The sequence below is a fragment of the Homo sapiens genome, chromosome 7 (genome assembly GCF_000001405.40).
Source record: "Homo sapiens chromosome 7, GRCh38.p14 Primary Assembly".
NCBI classification, from domain to species: Eukaryota; Metazoa; Chordata; class Mammalia; order Primates; family Hominidae; genus Homo; species Homo sapiens.
This window is the reverse complement of record NC_000007.14, coordinates 97,851,677-97,876,766: the sequence shown is the minus strand read 5'-3', so window position 1 is coordinate 97,876,766 and position 25,090 is coordinate 97,851,677. Positions and strand designations below refer to the sequence as shown.

At 39.4% G+C, this 25,090-nt stretch overlaps 1 protein-coding gene and 1 long non-coding RNA gene across 8 annotated transcripts in view, besides 3 other annotated features; both read left to right on the top strand.

Annotated features, from left to right (window-relative positions):
• CZ1P-ASNS (CZ1P-ASNS readthrough) overlaps positions 1 to 24,650 on the top strand; it is a 120,242-nt gene extending 95,592 nt beyond the window's left edge. The window contains exons 8-19 of the long non-coding RNA NR_147989.1: positions 6,954 to 6,989; positions 7,588 to 7,859; positions 12,271 to 12,508; positions 17,369 to 17,554; positions 17,812 to 17,913; positions 18,362 to 18,489; positions 19,951 to 20,077; positions 21,308 to 21,414; positions 22,013 to 22,187; positions 23,381 to 23,462; positions 23,552 to 23,707; positions 24,299 to 24,650. This is a non-coding gene — a long non-coding RNA (CZ1P-ASNS readthrough). The remainder of the gene's footprint in view (positions 1 to 6,953; positions 6,990 to 7,587; positions 7,860 to 12,270; positions 12,509 to 17,368; positions 17,555 to 17,811; positions 17,914 to 18,361; positions 18,490 to 19,950; positions 20,078 to 21,307; positions 21,415 to 22,012; positions 22,188 to 23,380; positions 23,463 to 23,551; positions 23,708 to 24,298) is intronic.
• Positions 1 to 25,090, top strand: part of ASNS (asparagine synthetase (glutamine-hydrolyzing)) — a 76,765-nt gene extending 51,675 nt beyond the window's left edge. Inside the window, exons 1-14 of one of the 7 annotated variants that reach the window (NM_183356.4) lie at positions 4,359 to 4,416; positions 4,771 to 5,048; positions 6,954 to 6,989; positions 7,588 to 7,859; positions 12,271 to 12,508; positions 17,369 to 17,554; positions 17,812 to 17,913; positions 18,362 to 18,489; positions 19,951 to 20,077; positions 21,308 to 21,414; positions 22,087 to 22,187; positions 23,381 to 23,462; positions 23,552 to 23,707; positions 24,299 to 25,090. In NM_183356.4, coding sequence (NP_899199.2) covers positions 7,611 to 7,859; positions 12,271 to 12,508; positions 17,369 to 17,554; positions 17,812 to 17,913; positions 18,362 to 18,489; positions 19,951 to 20,077; positions 21,308 to 21,414; positions 22,087 to 22,187; positions 23,381 to 23,462; positions 23,552 to 23,707; positions 24,299 to 24,508 — 1,686 coding nt within the window. In that variant the 5' untranslated portion in view covers positions 4,359 to 4,416; positions 4,771 to 5,048; positions 6,954 to 6,989; positions 7,588 to 7,610 and the 3' untranslated portion in view covers positions 24,509 to 25,090. Of the gene's footprint in view, positions 1 to 4,317; positions 4,417 to 4,601; positions 5,049 to 6,953; positions 6,990 to 7,587; positions 7,860 to 12,270; positions 12,509 to 17,368; positions 17,555 to 17,811; positions 17,914 to 18,361; positions 18,490 to 19,950; positions 20,078 to 21,307; positions 21,415 to 22,086; positions 22,188 to 23,380; positions 23,463 to 23,551; positions 23,708 to 24,298 lie in introns of those variants that run through there. The other 6 variants (NM_001352496.2, NM_001178075.2, NM_001673.5 and 3 more) reach the window with 6 other exon arrangements.
• Positions 3,763 to 4,478: an enhancer, noted in NCBI's record as "NANOG-H3K27ac-H3K4me1 hESC enhancer chr7:97501601-97502316 (GRCh37/hg19 assembly coordinates)". NCBI's record gives its function as "activates a minimal SCP1, AML or CMV promoter by ChIP-STARR-seq in primed H9 embryonic stem cells {active_cell/tissue: H9 hESC(primed)}" and the evidence as "EXISTENCE:reporter gene assay evidence [ECO:0000049][PMID:30033119]".
• Positions 4,128 to 4,217: a silencer, noted in NCBI's record as "silent region_18387". NCBI's record gives its function as "represses an Ori minimal core promoter by ATAC-STARR-seq in GM12878 lymphoblastoid cells {active_cell/tissue: GM12878}" and the evidence as "EXISTENCE:reporter gene assay evidence [ECO:0000049][PMID:35858748]".
• Positions 4,528 to 4,637: a silencer, noted in NCBI's record as "silent region_18386". NCBI's record gives its function as "represses an Ori minimal core promoter by ATAC-STARR-seq in GM12878 lymphoblastoid cells {active_cell/tissue: GM12878}" and the evidence as "EXISTENCE:reporter gene assay evidence [ECO:0000049][PMID:35858748]".

The following is a 25,090-nucleotide window of genomic DNA, read 5'->3' as shown; positions in this document are numbered from 1 at the left end:
AATATAGTAACTGCCCCCCAAAATTAATAATAGTATTTTTGAGCTGGGCACGGTGGTTCATGCCTGTAATCCCAGCACTTTGGGAGGCTGAGGTGGGTGGATCATGAGGTCAAGAGATCGAGAGCATCCTGGACAACATGGTGAAACCCCGTCTCTACTAAAAATACAAAAATTAACTGGGAGTGGTAGCAGGCACCTGTAATCCCAGCTACTCAGGAGGCTGAGGCAGGAGAATCGATTGAATCCAGGAGGCAGAGGTTGCAGTGAGCCGAGATTGCACCACTGCACTCCAGCCTGGCAACAGAGCAAGACTCCGTCTCAAAAAAAAAAAAAAAAATATGTTTGAGTCCTTATGTGTCAACCACTGGGCTATCCCAACACCAATAGCTATTATGATTATGATTATTTTTTCCATTTTATTGATGAGGAAACCAACACATAGAAAGGTAAAGGAACTTGCCAAAGGTGACGGTCACACAGCCAAAGAGCTGTAGAAGCAGCACAGGAATACCAGCAAACTCACAGCCAAGCTCTGCTTTTCACCTTCACATCATACAGTCCTCAGACTAAAACCCTAACTCTGACCTTCCAAATCAAAAATCATACTCAAGGCCGGGTGCGGCGGCTCATGCCTATCATCTCAGCACTTTGGGAGGCCGAGGCAGGTGGATCACCTGAGGTCAGGAGTTCCAGACCAACCAGGCCAACATGGTGAAACCCCATCTCTACTAAAAATACAAAACTTAGCCAGGCGTGGTGGTGGGTGTCTGTAATCCCAGCATTTTGGGAGGCTGATGCATGAAAATCACTTGAACCCAGGAGGCAGAAGTTGCAGCGATCCATGATCATGCCACTGCACTCCAGCCTGGGCAAGAGAGTAAGACTCTGTCTCAAAAAAAAAAAAATTGCCTAATAATAGCTTGGAAGTGCACATGTCTTCTGTGAAGGTTGATGGACTACAATTAGCTTCAAAACACAAATAAGTAACTGTGTTTAAATGAGGCCTTCTGTGTAATATCTAGGGAAAATCAATGTGGCTATTCAAATTTGTTTCCCCTTCCAAGCACAGAGAAGTTGCTCATGACTCTGTGATCCGTTTTGTCCAATGAACCATGAGCAGCAGCAGCAACTTGAGTCACCTCCAGGTGGAAGTGTTAAGAGGCTCTATGATCCACCACATTCCGTTTCCCCTGAAGGGTGATCAAGGACACATGCAGAGATGGGGCTTTTGTCAGCCTGGATCCCTGAGTGAACACAATGAACAGACCACCACACAATGCCCTAACACAGCCCAGACATGCAACGTGACCAAGAATAAGCCTCACTGTGGCCAGGCATGGTGGCTCATGCCTGTCATCCCAGAACTTTGGGAGGCCAAGGCGGGTGGATCATTTGAGGTCAGGAGTTCAAGACCAGCCTGGCTAACATGGTGAAATCCTGTCTCTACTAAGTACAAAAATTAGCCAGACAGTGGTGGCATGGGCCTGTAATCCCAGCTACTCAGGAGGCAGGAGAATCACTTGAGTCTGGGAGGCAGAGGTTGCAGTGAGCTGAGATTGCACCACTGCACTCTAGTCTGGGTGACAGAGTGAGACCCTGTCTCAAAAACAAACAAATACCTCACTGCATGGAGCCACTGAGATTTGGGGATTGTCGTTACTGCACCAGAACCCAAATCATCCTGACCGCTAGGGTGTCCTAACTAGGGTTTCTTCCCAAAAGCAAAGGCATTTTTAAAGTTCGTGACATTTAAACAAAAGAGCAAATACCAATATCTACCACTTCGTCAGGCTAACAAACCCAAACAAAGCCAACAGCCAGAAGTTAAAATAAACAGATCATTAGGTTGAAAATAGAACTGTCAAAACAGGCACAATTGACTTCATTTAGTGATTGCAAAGAACATCAGGCAAGACACACGTGTGGTCATCATAACATTTATCACATGCTTAATTGCACATGTTTGACTAAGAAAAACACAAAGTATTTAAGCTCATCTGTAGTTCAAAGTGCCTATCCGTGTATTTATCTATTCATCCTGATGTATTTATTGAGCAACTCTTTTGTGCCAGGCACTGTGCTGTGTTGCGGGAAGTCAGGGACCCCAAACGGAGGGACCAGCTGAAGCCATGACAGAAGAACGTGGATTATGAAGATTTTATGGACATTTATTAGTTCCCCAAATTAATACTTTTGTAATTTCTTATGCCTGCCTTCACTGCAATCTCTAAACATAAATTGTAAAGATTTCATGGACTAAACTTATCACTTCCCTAATCAATACCCTTGTGATTTCCTATGCCTGTCATTACTTTAATCTCTTAATCCTGTCAGCCGAGAAGGATGTATATCGTCTCAGGACCTGTAATAATTGCGTTAAGTACACAAATTATACAGCATGTGTGTTTGAGCAATATGAAATGTGGGCACCCTGAAAAAAGAACAGGATAACAGCAATTGTTCAGGGAATAAGAGAGATAACCTTAAACTCTGACCGCCGGTGAGCCAGGCAGAACAGAACCATATTTCTCTTCTTTCAAAAGCAAATGGGAGAAATATCGCTGAATTCCTTTTCTCAGCATGGAACGTCCCTGAGAAAGAGAATGCGCACCTAGGGGTAGGTCTCTAAACTGGCCCCCCGGGGCGTACCTGTCTCTTATGGTCGAGACTGCAGAGGTGAAATAAACTCCAGTCTCCCATAGCACTCCCAGGCTTATTAGGAAGAGAAAATTCCCACCTAATAAACTTTGGTCAGACCGGTTGATCTCAAAACCCTGTCTCCTGATAAGATGTTATCAATGACAATGGTGCCAAAACTTCATTAGCAATTTTAATTTCACCTTTTGCATCTCCTTGAAATGTCTGCCTTTGCACACTCTCCCTGAAAGAGGAGGGCAAGGGAGCCAGGATAGAAAGTGAGGTGGAGAAGTGTAGAGCTCTGGACGGACAAGCAGGAGATACGCAGCACAAGGAAGCACACTAGGTAACACACCAAGCAGGGGAACCTGTCTTTCACTACATAGGCAAGATGCTACGGGAAATGGGCTCTGGGTTTACACAGATTATGACTCAGTTCTCTACTGTTGTGAAGCTGTGTTTGGATAAATCCCTCAACTTTTCTGAGTCTTATTTTTTCATTTGTAAAATGTAGATAGAAGACCTACTTTCCCACATTGCTCTCAGGTTTAAAGTACGTCAATTAGGATACAGCAAAGTCTGTTTGATACTGAAAACTTTCCAGCAACAATGAACCTTAGAACAAGTCATCTCTCATCTTTGCTCTTGCCTGTAACTACTAAGCGACTACTCCATCTTCTGTTCTTAGGGATTTTAAATTGTTGACGTTTTTGATTTAGTCAGGAATGCGTTGTATGGGGATATCAAACCTGCATGCTCTCCAAGCATTGACTGTAGTCTGATCTTAGTAGGTCGTGCACATATAATTTTACTATTTCTCAATTTATTTCGGTGCTGATGTAATTAGTAAAATACGATTTAAGAGTGTTATGATACTTTTTAAAAATCGTGATGTCTTTTCTTCATCAAAGAGATACTTAAAAGCACATAATCATCTTGTGGAGGCAAGTTGACAAAATCCTTTTTGAGATTCTAAAAGGAATCTTTGTACTTAAAATGTTTAAGGACCACTGATGTATTTTGGCTTCATGTATCAATTAGATTTAGATTTTATTGTTTTAGAGATGGGGGTCTCCCTTTGTCGCCCAGGCTGGAGTTGAGCTCACCTCAGCCTCAAACGCCTGGGCTCAAACTATCCTTCTGCCTCAGCCTCCTGAGTTGCTGGGACTACCATGGTGTGCCACCAATTTTTATAGAGATGTGATCTCGCTGTGTTTCCCAGGCTGGTCTTGAACTCCTGGTTTCAAGTGATCCTCTTGCCTTGGCTTCCCAAAGTGTTGGGATTACAGGCGTGAGCCACCGCTCCTGGCCCCGATTTATTAATAGATCTTATAAGGACATTTTAGGCCTCACGCATCAGTTTCTTAGGACAAGCTTTTCTCTGCACTGCATAATAAATCAGACGGCAGTGCAACAAAAAAACGGTGATGATTTCCCGAAGAACAAACCAAGTTCAGAAGCCTCCCTAATTGTCAGAACAGCAGGTAGCCTGGGCGGAGCTCTGAGGCTATCCTTAAACAGGCGCACTGAGACGCAAGGCGCTGGAAACAAAAGAGCTCCTCCTTGCGCCCTTCCGCCGCCCCACTTAGTCCTGCTCCGCCCCGGACACCCCGCGGCCCCGCCCCTGTGCGCGCTGGTTGGTCCTCGCAGGCATGATGAAACTTCCCGCACGCGTTACAGGAGCCAGGTCGGTATAAGCGCCAGCGGCCTCGCCGCCCGTCAAGCTGTCCACATCCCTGGCCTCAGCCCGCCACATCACCCTGACCTGCTTACGCCCAGGTGAGCCGGGTCCTGCGCCCCGTGCCCTGCGCCCCGCGCCAGCATCCTCCTCGCGTGCCCTGGGGCTGCTCCGGAAGGAAGGGGTGGAGGATGCGGTCTTCAGCCTGGCACCCGGCAGACGCGGTTCGCGGGCGCCTGCTGATGCTGCGGCTCCTGCGGTAGGGAGGGCGGGGCGGACGCCTAGCGATTGTTACGCACCTGACAGCTAGCGGAAGGACCTTTCTGTCCTGGTTCCCTGAAGCATCGAGAGGGAACCGCGGCCGGCAGGCCGGACCGCTCCGGAGAGGAGGCAGCGGCAGTTTGAGCCCCTGTAAATGTTATATGTGTACTTTTTTTTACTATGTGGCGTCGAAGCCTGTGGACATTTTCGCGGTCCGGGTCCCTGCGGCGGACGGGTCGGATCGTGCTCGTGGCCAGGGCGCAGTCAGGTGTCGCGTGGTCCTGATCTAGGAAGAGACTGCGGCCTTATCACCGTCTCGGTGTCTGCTTTCACCTTCAACTGCCCCCCTCCTCACCTGGACCGCTCACCCTCCTCCTCCCCTCTCACCCCGCCATCCCCACCAGTCCCCACCTGTCTCTGTAGACTGCAAGACTCATCAAGTGACTTGCTGAGCAAACCCTGCCGAGAAGAGGTCTGTTTAGGGACACAGGCGACCAAGTACAGAAAAAGGCAAAAGAACTAGCATGCCTTTTTCAATGGCTGTCATTTTGCAGGGCTGGCTTCAGATGATTGTTATAGCTTTAAATAAAAAGGACAGTTTTCATCTCGGCCCGTGGCCTACATTATTTCTTTACTGTCCATTGCCCTGGGCGCTTGACTAATAATTTAACAGCAGTTTTTTTTTTTAAATTTTAAATCATGATTCATAGCATTGCTGTAAGAGTAATTAGAGGTAAAGTAGGGCTTGAACCTGTCTGTAGTTGGTTACTTACTGAGATCTTAATATAAAAGTAAAGGGAGAGGGTGAAGTTGTAAGTAGCACTAAGTGGAATAGAAATTAAATGCACTGAAACTGCCATGTCCAGTTCGGTAGGCGCTAGCCACCTGTAACTGTTGAGCACTTGAAGTGCTGGCTAGTCCTAACTGAGATGTATTGTGTTAAATACACTGGATTTTGTCGTTGGAGTAGGAAGAACAGTGTAAAATATCTGCTCGATAATATTTTATATTGATTACATATATGTTAAAATGTTACTATTTGGGACATACTGAGTTAAGTTTATTTAAAATTAATTTCACCTTTTTCTTTTAATGGGGCTACTAGTATATTTAAAATTACATATGTGGCTTACATATATATTTATTGGACAGCACTGTTCTAGAAGTTTAGGAAGAAATAAGAAAAATATTGAGAACAGGTAGCGGCAGTAGGAACTTTGCCCTCCTATAAGACTGATTCCAATAAAAATAATAGGTTATAGTTTTAATTGGCTTTTTCCTACTAGAAAAAATAAGTGTACTTTACATGCCTCTTTGTTCTCCCTTTTTCCCCTCCAGTTTAGTGGTTAGAATGTATTTATTATAGCAGGATTAATACAGGGATTCACTAAGCAGCGTTAAGAAGACTTAGGTAACTGATTCCCTGATGACCATACTTGATTTTCAAAGCACTTTCCTAACCCGTTTTAAATTGATATAGAGTCAAAGGCAGATGGCTTATTAGTAGTCATCTCATTTAAATCTTATGGAATTTTTCCAGTAAATCTCAAATAATTTGTTATAGGCTATTTGGGCTATTTGGTCAAGTGCATGGAAGAGACAGCATAGGACATGTGGTACTTCATTTCCAAATTGCTTGAGATGATTTTCATTCTAACCATATATTATTTGGTTCTGGTTTTCCGGAAAAGCCAGCTAAACCTTTGGTTCTTTTAGATATAAATGAAATATCATCAAAGAATAGCTCAAAGTGACTTATGCAACTTGAATGTATATTTTTTCCTTAGGGTGTTTATCCCAAACTATTTGGGCATTTGCTGCAATTCGCAGTTTTTTTAAAAAAAACACCAAAATAGTTATTTTTCAAGTTAGAGATGTTTTAATTAAAACATCTTGTTTTTGGTGTATCCATTGACATTCTCAAAACGGAATGTATCTGGACCTCTGTGTACAATCTTCGTAGCACTCAGACACTGAACAGAAAGGCAGTCATCACTGCCAAACAGGGCCCAAATGCCACACATGGTGCAATGTGTCATTTTGAGCTGGCAGCAGCCAAATAAAACAGCCCTTTATTTCACAGTTGAGAATTTGAAATTGGAAAGTAATTAACGTATGTAAGGGTGATTTATTTGCTTCCGGGCTTATAGGGATGAGCTAAGTTTTTTATTAGGGATGTTGTTGGTGTATATGTCTCACCTACTTTGCTTCCTTACTGAACAATGCAACTTTGAGACAGAAATATTTGAGAACATTTTTGTCAGTGAGGACATTTTGATAGTGAATATTTTGTATCTTCTATTAACTTGAAATGTTTTATTTGTTATAAAGCCAGGATATCTGATATCAAATTAAATTGTTTTTTTTTTCCCTTTAGATTTTCTTCAATCACATCTGAATAAATCACTTGAAGGTAACCTAGATGTAATATAGTGAAATGCTTGAAAGAGCTGCGTATCTTTTACACTTACAGCAGTATGATTTTCTGTTGTACCCATTATATGGTACCTGCAGCTAGTTCAGATAAAGAGGGCATTTAACTGTCAAGGGAACCTGAGAGGAGACTCTAGTAATCTGGAAAGTCTGTTGGATCTTTGAGGGATTTTGGGATGGTGAGAGTGGGGCTAGGATCTCTGGCTAGGTTGGAGCCAGCCTGCATTTGTATCTGTATCTTGGAAGCAAACTTAGAATGCAGAGACAGATGTGGCATGGACGCTGTCAGCTCTAGCCAACCACTAAATCCTAAGGTGGGAGAGATGCAGGCTTTGGCTAGGTGCTAAGCTGCTGTAGCCGGTTGAATGTAGAGGTCACTATCTTTTCCGAATACCTGTAAGTAAATTAAATCATTCTCTACTCCCATGTGCCTGCCAACCTAATGGGAAATCGCTATAGAAAAGATGGTTTAAATTTTAGTCTTTGAAGTGGTTTATGCACGTTTCCGGAATCAAGATTTAATGCAGAGTTGGATTGGATATTGAATATTTTTGATTTGTCTGCTTTTCTCTCCATAGAAAGCTTATAGCTTCATTGCACCATGTGTGGCATTTGGGCGCTGTTTGGCAGTGATGATTGCCTTTCTGTTCAGTGTCTGAGTGCTATGAAGATTGCACACAGAGGTCCAGATGCATTCCGTTTTGAGAATGTCAATGGATACACCAACTGCTGCTTTGGATTTCACCGGTTGGCGGTAGTTGACCCGCTGTTTGGAATGCAGCCAATTCGAGTGAAGAAATATCCGTATTTGTGGCTCTGTTACAATGGTGAAATCTACAACCATAAGAAGGTGAGGAGAAAGAAACCAGATGTCTGGATGCGATTAAACTTCAGAGTTTGTTGGTTACGATGATGTTACATATTCTGTATCATGCTTTTTCCTTTGCAAAGCACTCTATGTTCGTTATCTCATTTGCTCTAAGTATGTAAATAGGGAACTGATGAATAAAAAGGTGAGTGAAATGACTTGGTCACAAAAAAAGTGATAAAAATGGGGATTACAGTTCAGTTTCATTGACTCTTAGAATTTTTTCTCCTTCTCCCCAGCTTTTCATTTTGAAAAAATTCCTAACATACAGTAAAGAACAGAACAACAAGCACCTAGATTAAATAGTCATTAATGTTTTGCCATAGTTGCTTGATTTTTCTTTCTACACACACACACACACACACACACATGTTTTTGCTGAATCATTTGAGAGTACAGTGCAGATATTATGACACTCCTAAATATATAAGCATTTATCTCCTAAGAATAAGGACATTCTTCTACATAACATCAATGCCATTATTAAACCTAAGAGTCCATAATACCACCTAATATCCAGTTAATACTTAAATGAAATTTCCCTAAGTGTCCCAAGAATATTTTTATTTATTTATTTATTTTGAGACAGAGTCTCATTCTGTCACCCAGGCTGGAGTGCAGTGGTGCGATCTCGGCTTACTGCAACCTCTGCCTCCCAGGTTCAAGCAATTCTCCTGCCTCAGCCTCCCAAGTAGCTGGGACTACAGGCACCTGCCACCATGCCCAGCTAATTTTTTGTATTTTAGTAAAGACAGGGTTTCACCATGTTGCCCAGGGTGGTCTGGAACTCCTGAGCTCAGGTAATCTGCCCACCTTGACCTCTCAAAGTGCTACCAAGAATATCTTTATAGCTGGTTCTTGTTTGTTTTGAGCCAGATTTCATTCAAGGTTCATGCATTTGGTTGGTATGTTTCTTGGTATTTTTTGAGACTTCTTGATAGATACCTGTCAGGCATTGATAGAGATTTACATCCTAATCACATTTTGGACATTTTTATCTGTGAACAATAGCTTTTGTCATTGTTTGTTGCCTGCTCATAGGAAGACTCTTAATAATAGTCTTCTCATTTAAAAAGTTTTAAAATAGTTATTCAGGAAATTCCTTTTACACATTTCTTTATTCCTTTATTAAGGGTCTACTATGCACCAGACATCATTTTTCTAGGTGATTGGAGATGAAATGGTGAAAAGGAAAGGCAAGAATGGAATTTCCTGCTAGTGGGAGGTAGAAGAAGAGAGTATTAAAAATTTTTTCTAAGTCAAATAATGTCATATACATGAGAACGCTAGGTGGTATTATGGCATTATCAGCTTGGCTTTCCCCTTAAATGAAATAGGAAGTGCCCTGTTTCACTTGAACAGTGTTATTTCTTTTATTAAAAAGTTACAAGAAGTTAAATATTTTGAAAATAATTAATTTCTATTCTAAATTAGCCAAATGTTATATTTGTAAAAGTAGAGAAGTTTGTTCCATTGCTTCTACCAAGCATCTAAGTTTATGTAGTTGGGGCAGCTAGCAGTCTGTCTAATGAGCAGAATGTATACTTTAGGCTTATATAAAGTATTCAGAAATCCCCCCCACACCTCCTTTTTGGTAAAAATAAAGTTTACCACTACAATAAAATACAGCCAGAGGTGTACTGGGAGTAGAAGGAGACTGAATGAAAGAAAGGAGGAATGGGGTAAAGGCTGGGGCAAAGAGCAGGCCCTCTCCCTGCAGGGGAGTATCAGGGCCTGCAGCCAAGTCAAATGACAGCATGACGTCAGGAGGCAAGATTTGAGGGCTTTTATTTAAGGTGCAGCATTGGAGTTTGGTTTTAGGAGAGTAGGAAGTAATACATCCGTTACCCAAAGGACCCTTCTCCTTTTTAAATAAGTTACCTGCAAAGTTTAGGCCAAAGAGGTGGGTAAGGTAGATTTGGGAAGCTGTTGCTTACTAATATCACCGAATGCTTTATGGTCACTAACCCTTCAGGCAGTTCAGCCCAGAAGAGTCAGCAGAAGACTGTTTACAGGCCCCCACCTGCTAGTTACAGATCATCCCTGATAGAGCAGAGAGGGGTGACCAGGTAGTGACTTTGTAGTCACTGGAGGCAAAGCCCATTTTTGGACAGTTCAGTGAGGACTTATAGACAAAAGATTCACAAATTATGGAGTGAGTTGGATGGAGTGTGAAGCATATTTATGGGTCATGCACATACATAATAGGTTTACTTTTTGAAATTTGAAAGCATGTTTTAAGCTTATCTAGGATTTCCACCTGATTTAAACCTCTTCTTTCTCTAATGTCAGCCAAAAACCCGAGTACAAAGAAGAAAGAGGAATACATCAAGGACTTTTCATCCTCATAGTTTGCCATTAATGGCTCATAGTTTGCCGTTGATGGTGGAGAGTGTCAGAATTGGGGAGTAGCCTAATCAAACCTTCTTACTCTGCATGCAGTGGCAGACAGTCCCTTTGCTGTTCTTTTGGGGAATGCAGACTAATAAAGCGCCACCGTCATTTTATCTATCAGTAAGGAGTAGCTTTAATGCTGCTGCAGTGGTGGAAGCACTGGGCATTGTCATCCACCCCTGGGGACCAGCAGCTTTGTTTTGGATCATGTATCTGTTATTGTGATGGAGCCATTTATTTTTCAGGGAATGATGCCAAATGATGTTTGTCCCTTTGCTTTACATTTTTATAGCTAGGACTTTGAAGCTGAACTGGAGGAACTTCTTAGCCAATACTATCTTCTCAAATCAAAAGTTTATAGTTGCAAAAGACACGTTTTTTAGTGTCATGGCAACCAGGCAACCTATTATCTTAACTTAAATTTAGAGGTTGAGCATCCCTAATCTGAAAATCTGAAATTTGAAATGCTCCAAAATCTGAAACTTTTTGAGCACTGACATGACATTACATGTGCATTTTGATGTCACAGTCAAAATGCAGGTGTAAAACACGCAGTTTATTTGGCGTTCCCTAGGGAAAAAAGACCCTCTCAGCCCGCTTCAGCTGCAGTATAACTTTTCTACACATGCCCGGATTTCCCCATGCAAGCACGCCCACAAAGGGTAATAGAATGGCACATGTTCAAGCTGGATACGCCATTGGCAGGATCCCCACAGATGGGACTTATGTGCATTATCCATTGTGTATTTTTGCTTATTTTCTGCTCTGTGGTGTTAAGATACTGAAAATGTCAAAAAGACCTGTAGATATTTCTATGAGCAGCAGTGATAAGGAAAAGTAGAAACACTTATAACACAGAAAGTCAAGCTGTAGGAGAAACTGGACTGTAGTATAAAGGTATAGATGACATGGTGAAAATGTGTGATAGAGATATTGAAGGACTAGAGCTACCTGCATTCATAACAGAACAAGAGGTCATGTCAGTTTATAAAATCAAAGAGAGCCTTCCAAGACAAAAGCCATTGTTAATGAAGCAGATGACTCTGGAGAAACATTTAAAAGTCATCTGGCCGAATGCCTCTTCAATCTCAGAGGACCCGCTTCCTAGTTGCTCAGCTGCTTCTGATGTTTCTTCTCACCTGAAAAAGGAAAAAAAAATACAGTGTATAGTAACCTTTTAATCAAAACGCAGCATTGTAGGTGGAGTCTGAAAGCCTGCCATTGTTTGTACAGCTGTTTAACAGCTGATGCAGGTATTCTGGTGATTCTACTATGCTACTTATTACTTTCTTACTGTATTAATGGTATGTCATATTTTATAAGCATATGAAAATGATTGCTCATCAGCAGCATAATAAATTCAGAGTCAGGAATGATGGTCAATGATGTCAAACAGCCACAGATTTTCCACATGGTAGCTGAGATAGTGACCCCTTTGCTTTCTGATGGTTCCATGTATGCAAACTTTGTTTCATGCACAAAATTATTTGAAATATTATATAAAATTACCTTTAGGTTTTGTGTATAAGATATATGAAACATAAATGAAGTTCATGTTTAGACTTGGGTCTCATGCCCAAGATATCTCACATATATGCAAATATTCCAAAGTCCAAAACACAAAACACTTCTGGTTCCAAACATTTCAGATAAGGGATACTCAATCTGTATATATATAAATATATGTATGTATTACATATATGGTATGTATATAATATACATTTCCATCCCTCCACAGGTTACTGTTCTGGCACATTCCCATTATGTTCTGTTTATCAGACTGCAACTAAAATTTTCATGGGTTCGGCTTTATGTTGAACAGAATTTGCAGAATATGAGTTGAAGCGAACCATAGTTTAATAATGCTGTGATTCTCCTAAATCACCAAAGTGCATGAAAGGATTATAGAGCTCAGAAATACTGAAGCATCTTTGCAATAAAAAATTATTAGTGAATGTACAAGGAGTCTAACATTTTGGTTTTGCTTTCGCTTCCTAAGATGCAACAGCATTTTGAATTTGAATACCAGACCAAAGTGGATGGTGAGATAATCCTTCATCTTTATGACAAAGGAGGAATTGAGCAAACAATTTGTATGTTGGATGGTGTGTTTGCATTTGTTTTACTGGATACTGCCAATAAGAAAGTGTTCCTGGGTAGAGATACATATGGAGTCAGACCTTTGTTTAAAGCAATGACAGAAGATGGATTTTTGGCTGTATGTTCAGAAGCTAAAGGTAATAATAAATTTTTCTATAGATTTTCATTATTGTCTTGGTTGTACGTTTTCTTTTAAATTATATTTGAAAATCTCTTAGAGAGCAATCCAGAATTTTACAAGTGACTAAGTTATGAGTCTTTACCTTTTTTTAAAAAAACAGAGGAGTTGTACTCTCCTTTTCAGCACTTAAATTCTGTAATCCTTGAAGGATGATTCTTTAGTGCAGTCGTTTATTTTTTGCTGTGCTAATATGCTCTACATCTAGCTTGATCTTAAGTGCAGTTTTAAGTTTTCCTGTGTCATACTATAATCGTAGGGTTGACTCTGCAATTATTGCATTGTGGTACTTTGCGCAGTTATAGCACAGCAAGTGTTAGGATTTCTAAAACAGCTTTATTGATAATTCACATACCATGTAATTCACCCACTTGAAGTATACAGTTCAGTGGTTTTTAGTATATTCACAGATGTTGGTAAACAACACTCCAATCAGTTTTAGGATTGTTTTTCCACCTCAAAAAAAACCAAATCAAATCCTATGCCCTTTACCTTAGTTTTTGCTGGCAGGATCAACTAGGTTTTTGTTTGTTTGTTTGTTTGAAGAGATGGGGTCTTGCTCAGTCGCCCAGCCCAGGCTGGAGTGCGGTGGTTTGATAGCTCAGTGCAGCCTTGAACTCGTGGGCTCAAGCGATTCTCCCACCTCAGCCTCCCTAGTAGCTAGGAGTATAGGCATGCACCACAACACCCTGCCTCCTGTGCCCTTTAGCTTTGAATTCCATCTCTCCATATCCATCAGCTGCACCCCTGCAGTTGTAGCCCCGGCAATCACCAGTCTTTCTGCCTCTGGATTCCCTATTCTGTATGTTTCATATGAACGGGATTATATATCATACCGGCTTTTGTGACTGGATTCTTTCACTTGGTATAGTGCTTTCAAGATTTGTCTATGCCGTAGCATGTATCAGTACTTACTTCTTATGGCCAAATGATATTCCATTACATGGATACACTGCATTTTGTTTATTCGCTTGTCAGTTGATGGACATTTAGGACATTATTTACCCCTTTTGGCTATTATGAATAATGCTGCTATAAACATTGGTGTACAAGTTTTTGTGTGGACATTTCCCTTGGGTGTATATCTAGGAGTAGAATTGCTGGGACACATGATAACTATGTTCAGTTGAAGAACTGCCAGACTAATTTTTGAAATGGCTGCATCATTTTTTATTCACTCCAGCAGTGTATTAAAATTTCTGTTTCTCCACATCTTCACAAACAGTGTGTGACTTTAATTCTAGCCATTCTAGTGTATGTGAAGTGGTATCTCATTGTGATTTTGATTTGTATTTTCCTGTTGACAGTGATGTCCAGCATCTTATCTTATGCTTATTGGCCATTTGTATATCTTCTTTGGAGAAATATTTGTTCAGATCCTTTGCCATTTTTTTTTCCTGTTAGGGATCATTTTATTTTAAAAACATAATAGACTTTATTTTTTTTTTTGAGCAGTTTTAGAAAAAATTGAGAGGAAAGTGCAGAGAGTTCACATATGCTCCCCCTACAGTGCCCCTGCCCAGTTTTCCCCACTCTTAACATCTTGCATTACTGTGCTACATTTATTAGATTTGATGAACTGATACTTATATATTAACTGAAGTTCATAGTTTACATAAGGGTTCACTCTTTGTGTTTTATAGATTTTTGGATTTGACAAATGTTTAATGCCATGTACCCACCATTACAGTATTATGTAGAACAGTTTCATTGCCCTAAAAATCTCCTGTGCTCCACTTATTCTTTCCTCCCGTCCTCTTCCTCCTAACCCCCCAGTCATTACTGATCTTTTTGCTTTCTCTCTCACTTTGCCTTTCCCAGAATGTCGTATAATAGTTGTAATCATATAGTATGTAGCTTTTTCAGACTGGCTTCTTTCACCTAGCAGTATACATTTATAGTTCTTCTGTGTTTTTTCATGGCTTGATAGCTCATTTATTATTATTATTATTATACTTTAAGTTCTAGGGTACATGTGCATAACGTGCAGGTTTGTTACATATGTATACATGTGCCATGTTGGTGTGCTTGCTGAATAATATTCCATTTGTTTGCATGCAATGCAATTTGTTTATCCATTCTTGAATTACCCATTTCTAATTGAGTTATTTTGTCTTTTTATTACTGAATTGTAATAGTTCCTTATGTATTCTAGATACAAATCCCTTCTGTTCATCAGGGTTGCAGGATACAAGATGAATATACAAAAATCAATGGTATTTGACACACTTTAACTGAATACTACATACTTAAAATGAGCAATCAAAATGAAATTAAGAAAGCAACTTCATTTATAATAGCATCAAAAAGAATAAAATACTTAGAAATAAATTTAAGAAGTGTAAAACTTGTACTCTGAAAACTATAAAATGTTGTTGAAAGAAATGAGAGGAGATCTAAATAAATGGAAAAGTATCCCATGATCATGATTTGAAGGCTTAACATTGTTAAGATGGCAGTCCTCCCTAAACTGATTTACAGATTTAACTTGATCCCTATCAGAATCCCAGATGAGTTCTTTGTGAAATCTACAAGCTGACTCTCAAATTCATATGGAATTGCAAGAGACTAAGAATAGCCAAAACAATCTTTTGAAAATGAAGAACAAAGTAGGAGACCTCATATTAACTGATTTTAAAACTTACTACAAGACAATGGTAATAAGGACAATATAATACTGACAGAAGGATAGATGTATAGACTAGTGGGATAGAATTGAGAGTCAGAAATGAACCCATACATATATGATCAACTTATTTTTGACAAGGGTGCCAAGATTATTCAGTGGAGAAAGAAGTTTGAAAACTGGCACAGGGGCAACCAGATATGTAACCATATGCAAAACTTGGAGTTGAATCTTTACCCAACATCGTATACAAAAATTATGGATACAGAAAAATGGATCAGGCCAGGCGCGATGGCTTATGCCTGTAATCCCAGCACTTTGGGAGGCCGAGGCGGGTGGATCACGAGGTCAGGAGATCGAGACCATCCTGGCTAACACAGTGAAACCCCGTCTCTACTAAAAATTAGCCGGGCGTGGTGGCGGGCGCCTGTAGTCCCAGCTACTCAGGAGGCTGAGGCAGGAGAATGGCGTGAACCCGGGAGACGGAGCTTGCGGTAAGCCGAGATCGCGCAACTGCACTCCAGCCTGAGTGACAGAGCGAGACTCATCTCAAAAAAAAAAAAAAAAAGGATCAAATGAATCAGTTTTGAACTAATCCACTTAAATGTAAGGGCTAAAACTATAAAATCCCGAGAAGCAAACATAGAAGTAAATTGTCATGACCCTGGATTTGGCAAAGCTTTCTTAAATATGAGACCAGCAACAATAATAAAAATCAATGAATTGGACTTCATCAAAATTAAACATTTTTGCACATCAAAGGACACCATCAAGAAAGTGAAAAGACGGCCCACAAGTTGGAAGAAAATACTTGCAAATCATGCATAGCACTTTTTGATGGTAAACTTGAGGAAGACATTTATCTTTTATCCCTTACCTGTGCAGCAGTAACATCCTAATATCTCTCTCCCTGCCTCTTTTTGCCATTCTTTAAATTCTTTCTCACTTAATTTTCAGATTTAATATTGGCTGAAGCAGGGATAATGAGATCAATCAAAGGGGTCCTTAGGACACTAGTCACAGTGTTTGTACTAATACTGGAACTGGCTTATTTTCAGGCATTTCTAGTGTGATCAGATGGCAAAGAACAAGCATATATATATGTCAGTTGCCAGGACTGCTGGGAAAGCCTGGTAAAGAGAACACTGGGGAAAAGCAGCCTCCTGCTCCCCTGGGCCTTCTTTGAGCCTGATGATCACTTGATATGGAACTTACCCTCTGAAATTCCTTAATTGTTCTTTTCTATATCCTTGACACTGTCCTTTTCCAGACCAAATTATCTCATCTGGAATACTGCAACAATTTTCTTTTCTCAGTGCTTTTAGAATAACCTGTCAAAATCTCATCTGATTATAGTATTGCCTGCTTAAAACCTTTTAATTACTCCCCATTCCCTATCCGGGTTGTGTAGCTCACTTGAGCTCTGCTGGCTGGTGAGGGAATCTGGGTCCTTTTTCTGGTATTTGAATTCAGTGCTACACAGGTTACTGGCTGGGTAGACAATCTCAAATTGTAAATCACGAGTATTCCATGTAGATAGTCCATTACGATCTACAATAAAACATTGATGTTTGTATCAAAGATCATGGTGATGAGAGGTTGGGTACTGTACTGTCTGTGAGAATTTATTGAGGAAATTTAAGTTATATGGTTTTATTCACATATAGTGTATAACAACTAGTTAAGGGATAGATGTCTTCTTATCTGACTTTAAAGTAGGTAAAAGTGGATCATTGTACTTGTTAAAGGTCTGGGAACCATGGCTGTGTTCTGAAAATACCTCAGTGATGACAAATAAATGACTCCCAGCCTATCATAACATTAGGACTCCAGTTCATCCCTTTGCTTCATAAGTGTGTCTTTTCCTTTTGTGTATTTGCTTTAGTATAGAAAATAGGTTTTCTTGATTAGAAATCTAAGAAGAAGAAATTGAACACTGGAGATTTTTCTATTTCTTTGAATTACGAAAAGTTAGTGTAATTTGGCAGTATATCCCTGTGCCATTATTGTCTCTCAGGTAAGTAGATGGTAGGGCTTAGGAAAATAGAAAATTTTTTTTCCTATTTTGCTTATTTAATGGGTATGTGTTTGTATTAAAAAGGGAAAATAGGAATGTAGATGATGTTAACTAATCGTGAAAGTTATTGGGAAGGGTTACCTAATTTGAATAAAGGTATCATTGTGAATTTCTAGGTCTTGTTACATTGAAGCACTCCGCGACTCCCTTTTTAAAAGTGGAGCCTTTTCTTCCTGGACACTATGAAGTTTTGGATTTAAAGCCAAATGGCAAAGTTGCATCCGTGGAAATGGTTAAATATCATCACTGTCGGGATGTACCCCTGCACGCCCTCTATGACAATGTGGAGAAACTCTTTCCAGGTAGCAGACACCCACCCACCTATTCCCCATCCTTCTCCAAGGGAAAAAAATTTTAAGTTGTATTCTCCCATCATTTGAATGATTTTAGTTTCAAGACCTACTTCCTATTTTGTTTGGAGGGAACACATTAAGATTTGGCACACTCCACCATTGAGTAAATACCATCATGATAGATGTTGATGATTGTGTATTTCATTTCAATAACTAATCCAGCCCAAGATTTTCTGGAGCTGTTTGATTTACTGCTGTGTTTATAGGTTTTGAGATAGAAACTGTGAAGAACAACCTCAGGATCCTTTTTAATAATGCTGTAAAGAAACGTTTGATGACAGACAGAAGGATTGGCTGCCTTTTATCAGGTGAAGTCAATTAAAAAAACCTAATTATATTTCATGTGTGTTTAATTGAAATGATTTGTAGCCATCCCTTTGGTTTTTACTATAAAATATTTACTGTATGATTTACTCTTTCCTTCATTATAGGATGGAAATGATTTTTTATAAGCTGTATTTAATAGTCATAGTCATACTCCAACTTGAGTTACACTATAGCTATGTTATTGGTGTTAAGAGTGAGTCAGTGAATGTTCTTTAGAATTCTGTGTAGTGATTTTTAACCAATTCAAATACTACTATTATCACAGTTTATATATTTTTCTCTTGTTGAAGTTGATTTCAGTTTATAAAACTTGGCGGATTTTAAATAGTAAAACTATGATCTTGGTGTTTATCAGGAATATACATCTTCTGTCCCTGTCTTATGCAAGGCACATAACTAGGACACTTCCACTTCCTCTTTTGCATGTAGGGGGCTTGGACTCCAGCTTGGTTGCTGCCACTCTGTTGAAGCAGCTGAAAGAAGCCCAAGTACAGTATCCTCTCCAGACATTTGCAATTGGCATGGAAGACAGCCCCGATTTACTGGCTGCTAGAAAGGTAAGGTGCTGTCTCTGTCCCTTGTGTAGTGTAGTTAGAGTAGACTTGTTATTAGAATGAAAATGGAGTCAATAATGGGTGATTCTACTGCTGCTGTATTGACTGGGTCAATTGTTTTAAATTGATTGTATTAAAATAGAATGAAATGGCTGTTGGATATGCACTGTGTTGTACACTGTCCTCTGTGTACTTTTATCTGTTATGACCCATGCAATTCTCACAAAGACCCTATGATGATAAGTATGCTCTTTTGAAAGTAAAGGTGTCTGGGCATGGTGGCCTACACCTGTAATCCCAGCACTTTACGAGGCTGAGGGAGGTAGATTACCTGAGGTCAGGAGTTTGAAACCAGCCTGAGCAACATAATGAAACTCCATCTCTACAAAAAAATACAAAAACTAGCCAGGCTTGGTGACGCATGCCTGTAGTCTTAGCCTTATGGGAGCCTGGGTGACAGAGTGAGACCTTGTCTCAAAAAAAAAAGAAAGTAAAGGCATAAGTCAGGTGCAGTGGCACACACCTATAGTCCCAGATACTTGGGAGGCTGTGGGGGGAGGTCTGAGCTCAGGAGTTCAAGTCCAGGCTGGGCAACGTAGCAAGACCCCATCTTGAAAAATTAAAAAAACGGGTTTTTTGTTCGTTTTTTTTTTTTTTTTTTTTTAAACGTAAAGGCATAGTATCATGGCTAAGACTGCAGACTTTGGAACCTGACTTGTGGTTTGAAATCCTGGCTCTACTCATTTATGTAACCAAAATAATAGTGTCTGCTATGGGGAAATTTTAAGGTGAAATGATATAATTCATGTAAAGTAAGTAGGGTAGAACTTAGCATGTAGTAAGTACTTAATGAGTGTTAGCTGTTATTATTATTTTTGAAAGTACTGTATTTAGAATACTGTGGGCAGAGGGCAGCTTGTCTGTATTCAGTGAGCGGGAGACCTAGTTCCCACTATGGAGGACTTTCGTAGCATGGATGAGAAAAAGCTAGAGAGCAGTCTCAGTGCAAGGTAATCAATGCCGAGAGAATCCAAAATAGCCAAGGAAAGCAGAATGAGGGGAAGGGCCATTCTATATAAGAATAACATCCTGGATATAAAATTAGGCATTTAAGAAGGACCAAAAAAGACCAAGCTTAGCGTGGGACCATGTTGGACTAGAGAGAGATGAGGTGGGTTAGGTAAAATAGGTAGAGAGGGAGGTGCCAACTGGGAGAATGGTTGAAGCCTTGGCACCAGAGGAGCTGAGGGGAGACTTACTTCCTGGTGGTGGAGTTGAAGCAGGCGAGGGAACAGTGCTGGATGGGGCTTGTATGTGGTGGGCTGTAAAGTCATTTTTCTTTTTTTCCCTTGTTTAGTTTTCACCATTGTTAATTCATAAAGCTTTGTGAACTCCCATCATGTTTGATTTTCAAGGGAAGTTATTTTCTTTAACAAGTAAATGGGTATTTCTTTATATAATAAGGTGGCAGATCATATTGGAAGTGAACATTATGAAGTCCTTTTTAACTCTGAGGAAGGCATTCAGGCTCTGGATGAAGTCATATTTTCCTTGGAAACTTATGACATTACAACAGTTCGTGCTTCAGTAGGTAAGGTATTATGATATTCTTAAATAAAAAGCTTTTTTTAATACTGAAAAAAATGTAAGGTTTAAAAAAATTATTTCAAGCCATAGTTTTAAAATGTTATTTAAGGATGAATGCAAATTAAATCCCTATGTTACTGATTATTTAAGACCACTTAAGAATTCTCTGAATCTCTTTTGGAGTGAAGGGAATAGTAAATACGTAGTTCAACCTCCACATTGTTGGTGTCACTGTTGGTGTTTCCCCAGGGAGCAGATACATATTTTCTGCCCTCTACCTCCCATTTCTCTTATAGTTTCTTGGGCTACAGTCTATATACAGTGAGGAAATAGGTCTTTTTGGTAATGCATTTTTGATAAGAAATAGTCATTTTAGATATATTCCATCACACAACTTACCAGTCACTAGCTATCATTGCTCTGCAAACAATACTAATTTTATCTTGTAGATAATGTATCTACTGAGATTGGAAGTATACCCCAAATCAGACTGATCCAGTGTTATTGAGCCTTTATATGCTACTGCCTCCCTTGAGAGACTTGCCTTGGAAGGCAAAAATATCTTAGGTATTACAATGGTTTATGGCCCTCCAAAACATCACAGTAAATAAGCAGATAGACAGGATAGCTCTGGTATTGGAATTTCATGGGGCTGGGGTGAGGTTAGGAAAATAAGTGTCTAAAAAGGCTCTCTAGCTGAGGTGATAATAAAAACAAGGTTGAGAAGAAACACTGGTTTAGAGAGATGTGGTGCAGGACCAAGGAGGCAAGTTTAATAACTTATATAGTCTCCCCAGCTTTATGTGAAATCTGGTAAATGGGGAGTGGCAGGGGGAAAATACCCATCAAAATTAACACTAAACCACCAAAACGGTTATTCTTATTTTTGTGTCATAATACCACTATGAAAGGCATGATTTTTAGGTATTTGAGTCATTGTTCAGCTTAGCAAAGTTTTGAGGTGGACATTCTTGGTCTAAAAACATTAGAATTTTAAAACCTGTTTAGAAAATGACAAAATGGTTCCGGGTTATTTTATTTTACAGTAGTACTTTTGGATTAAGTACATATAAATGGCTTATAAATACAAGGTCATTATTGTGGAAACTACTTTATATTAATATGAAGTCCAGTATAGTAGTAAAGCTTTCAATTATTTCCAAAAATCAAATCAAAGGCATTTTTGGTGGAAGGTTATGTTGACATTAAAGTTAATTTCTCTCTCTCATTTAAGGTATGTATTTAATTTCCAAGTATATTCGGAAGAACACAGATAGCGTGGTGATCTTCTCTGGAGAAGGATCAGATGAACTTACGCAGGGTTACATATATTTTCACAAGGTAACCACTCTGAAGTGGAGGGATATTCATGCTATATTAAGAAAAGTATGAATTGTTTGACTATTTTCTATCATCTTTCAGTATGACAGTGATATTTTTGAGTATCTTGTGAGGTTACAAAAGGGAATCTGATAGTGTTTGCTTTCTATCTCTTGGGGAAGAAAGAAATTTTAATGTGTCAGATAATTTTTATTCTTTAAAACTAGTTACAGCTGGGTATGAGGGCTCATGCTCATACCCCCAGCTGCTGAGGAGGCTGAGGTGGGAGGATCACCTGAACCCAGGAGATTGAGGCTGCAGTGAGCTGTGATTGCACCACTGCACTCCTGCCTGGTTGACAGAGTAAGACCCCGTCTCTTAAAAAAAAAAAAAAAAAAGTTAAAAATAAATAAATAAAACTACTTAAGCTTGAGAATCCCCTTTCTGCCATTTCTTAGCATCCTGTGGAATTATGACTGTTGCCCATTGTGTTCATTTTATTCTAATATTAGCAGTTTGGTAGGAAGGAAGGCATGTTTTGTGAAGCATTGCTTACCTCTGTTCAGTTATTTACTCCCTTCCCTAAATTTGTTTAACTTTTTGTCTTATCCACCTTTAGGATTGGAGAGGGAGAAAGAAAAACTGCTTTGTGTGCCAAAAGCAAAACTCTTGGTGTTTTTGTTTGTGAAATAGGCTCCTTCTCCTGAAAAAGCCGAGGAGGAGAGTGAGAGGCTTCTGAGGGAACTCTATTTGTTTGATGTTCTCCGCGCAGATCGAACTACTGCTGCCCATGGGTAATATTTTTAGAGGCTATTGTAAAACAAAAACAAAAAAACACCAAAAACAAAACAAAACAAAAAGCTCAATACCCTGAGAAAATAAAAATCAATAGCTGATTGGCTATATGTTACATATAGTTGGCTATATGTTACAAAGTGTGACTTTTATAGAGAAAATGAAGCTGTTTCTTAACTTTGTCCCAAAAGGATTAGGCCACATTTCAAAGTGGTGTTGTGGTATATGGAGAGAAGTCTTCTTCCATAGGTTGTTTGAGGTGGAGTTTTCACCTTTAAAGGGTAACAACATTCTGCTCACATCTGAACAACCAAGATGGAAGAGGCAAGGCTGCTACAGCAGCTACCGTTAAGTGTTTTAAAGAGAAGTAAAGATCGTAAACATCATGTGACAAGTAGTGAGTGCCCACCATGCCCATGTGGTGCTGTAGTGACCCTGAGGGAATAGAGTAGTGAAGATACAAGGGGTTTGATTACATTATAAAGAACCAGGTTTCTTTGGTTATCATTTCTAGTTGTCTAAAGTTATGTTGAAGAACTGAAGACTTTTACTGTACAGGATAAACAACTGACATTAAATGTCTTAGTTGCCTCTGCTGAATCACACCTAGATAAGGATATAATTAAATATGGGTTTGAGGAATGAACTGAATCTGGTCATTATCCTCTCTGCTTGTCCTAACTAGAGTCACTAGGCTTCAGGAAACCGGTGATTTGGAATTTGATGAAATATAGTGGGACACTGGTTTATATCGCATATTGTATGTGAATTTTTAATCAGTGGCAAAAAAATACTGTATCGTCATCACAATTGTTAGAAGAGATGGTCTCACCTAGTAAACACTGAGTTAGGTCTAGGCAAGGTATTTTCTTAATGATTGGGTCACTCATGTTTTGTAACTTTTTCTGCTTTTTGAAATATGCATTTAACTATTCCTAGAAGGGAAAGTAAAAGTAATAGTCTCAGTTAGTTTTACTCCCTAGATGACATGATATATGTATTATTTTAAATGAAGATTTATTTTTTGTATCTATTCATTAGTGTAGGGCAGTCATTAGGAGGCTTGTATGTGACTGTATGACCTTAACATTTCTTAAGATCTGGTTGAATTGATGGGAAACTGAATCAGAACCTAACCTGGCAGGCACTAAATACCCATTTTAATTTAGATTTTCTTCTTTTCTCCTTTAAGTCTTGAACTGAGAGTCCCATTTCTAGATCATCGATTTTCTTCCTATTACTTGTCTCTGCCACCAGAAATGAGAATTCCAAAGGTAGGTAAATCAACTCAAGGTAAAACTGTCCATTGCCATCAGATTATATTTGTAATTTTTACCTGATGCTCCTTTTTTTGTCACGTCAGAATGGGATAGAAAAACATCTCCTGAGAGAGACGTTTGAGGATTCCAATCTGATACCCAAAGAGATTCTCTGGCGACCAAAAGAAGCCTTCAGTGATGGAATAACTTCAGTTAAGAATTCCTGGTTTAAGATTTTACAGGAATACGTTGAACATCAGGTATAATGTCTTTAAAAACATTTTCAGGAATAAGACAGTTTGGATGCAGAGCTGTCATTGCTGTTCATTTTGTATTTAGTTTGAATGATACATGTATTTAGTTTGAATGATACATGTATTTAGTTTGAATGATACATACATCAGATATCTCTCTGATAGGATGTCCCTATCAGAGAGATTCAGAGTCTCTGTAAACAATTATCTCTTTTGTAAGAATTACGTAAGAATTAAGTAGCATGAAGGATTATAAAGTAGCATCTAGAATCGAGAGAGAGAGGAGACTTACTACTAATCATCACTGATTTTCATTTATCAGATTTTTGGGCACCTGCTGGGTGCCAGATCTTGTTAGGCACAAATGACTAAAACAGAGCCACCAAGTATTAAAAATATGCATATGAGTGTTCTTTAAAAGGCACTGCAGCTATCCATATTATGAATACTTTAGCATTTTCTAAGTGATGGGTGATTCAAAGGGTCTCATACAAGTTACAGTCACGTCTTAACATTTTCTGTTTCGTGAAATGAGACTAAACACAAGTATTTCCTGCCATTTTAAGCCATTTTGCTCTTATATGCTTATTCTTACAGGTTGATGATGCAATGATGGCAAATGCAGCCCAGAAATTTCCCTTCAATACTCCTAAAACCAAAGAAGGATATTACTACCGTCAAGTCTTTGAACGCCATTACCCAGGCCGGGCTGACTGGCTGAGCCATTACTGGATGCCCAAGTGGATCAATGCCACTGACCCTTCTGCCCGCACGCTGACCCACTACAAGTCAGCTGTCAAAGCTTAGGTGGTCTTTATGCTGTAATGTGAAAGCAAATATTTCTTCGTGTTGGATGGGGACTGTGGGTAGATAGGGGAACAATGAGAGTCAACTCAGGCTAACTTGGGTGTGAAAAAAATAAAAGTCCTAAATCTAAACCATTGCTGTAGTCATTTATGTTCATGCAGTCTCTTCATAAGAGGTAACTAGAACTGTTTTGCTGTATCACAGTAAAGTGGAGGGTAAGCTAGGAAAAGGGAAAATGATCAGATGTCTGCAAGAACTCACAGCCCTCTCCTGGCAGAGCTGCTTTAGATGACATTTGCATCTTGTGCCCGTGTGGCTTCCTTCCAGTCCTTGCCTCATCTTAGGGACGTCATCAAAGGACTACACTATTTTTGTTCTGCCTACATTCCTAACAGCTGCCTAGGCAGACTCAGACTTGAATCTTCTATAGGAGTTCATCACAGCTCTATTTTGCAAGATAGTAGTTCATTTTTTTCTCTTTTATGTTGAGCCAAAGCCACTTCTGGAGACTTGTCCTAGAGCAGGGGTCAGGCTTTTTTTGAATTTTTAATTTGTTTTTAATAAAGAGCCAGATAGTAAATA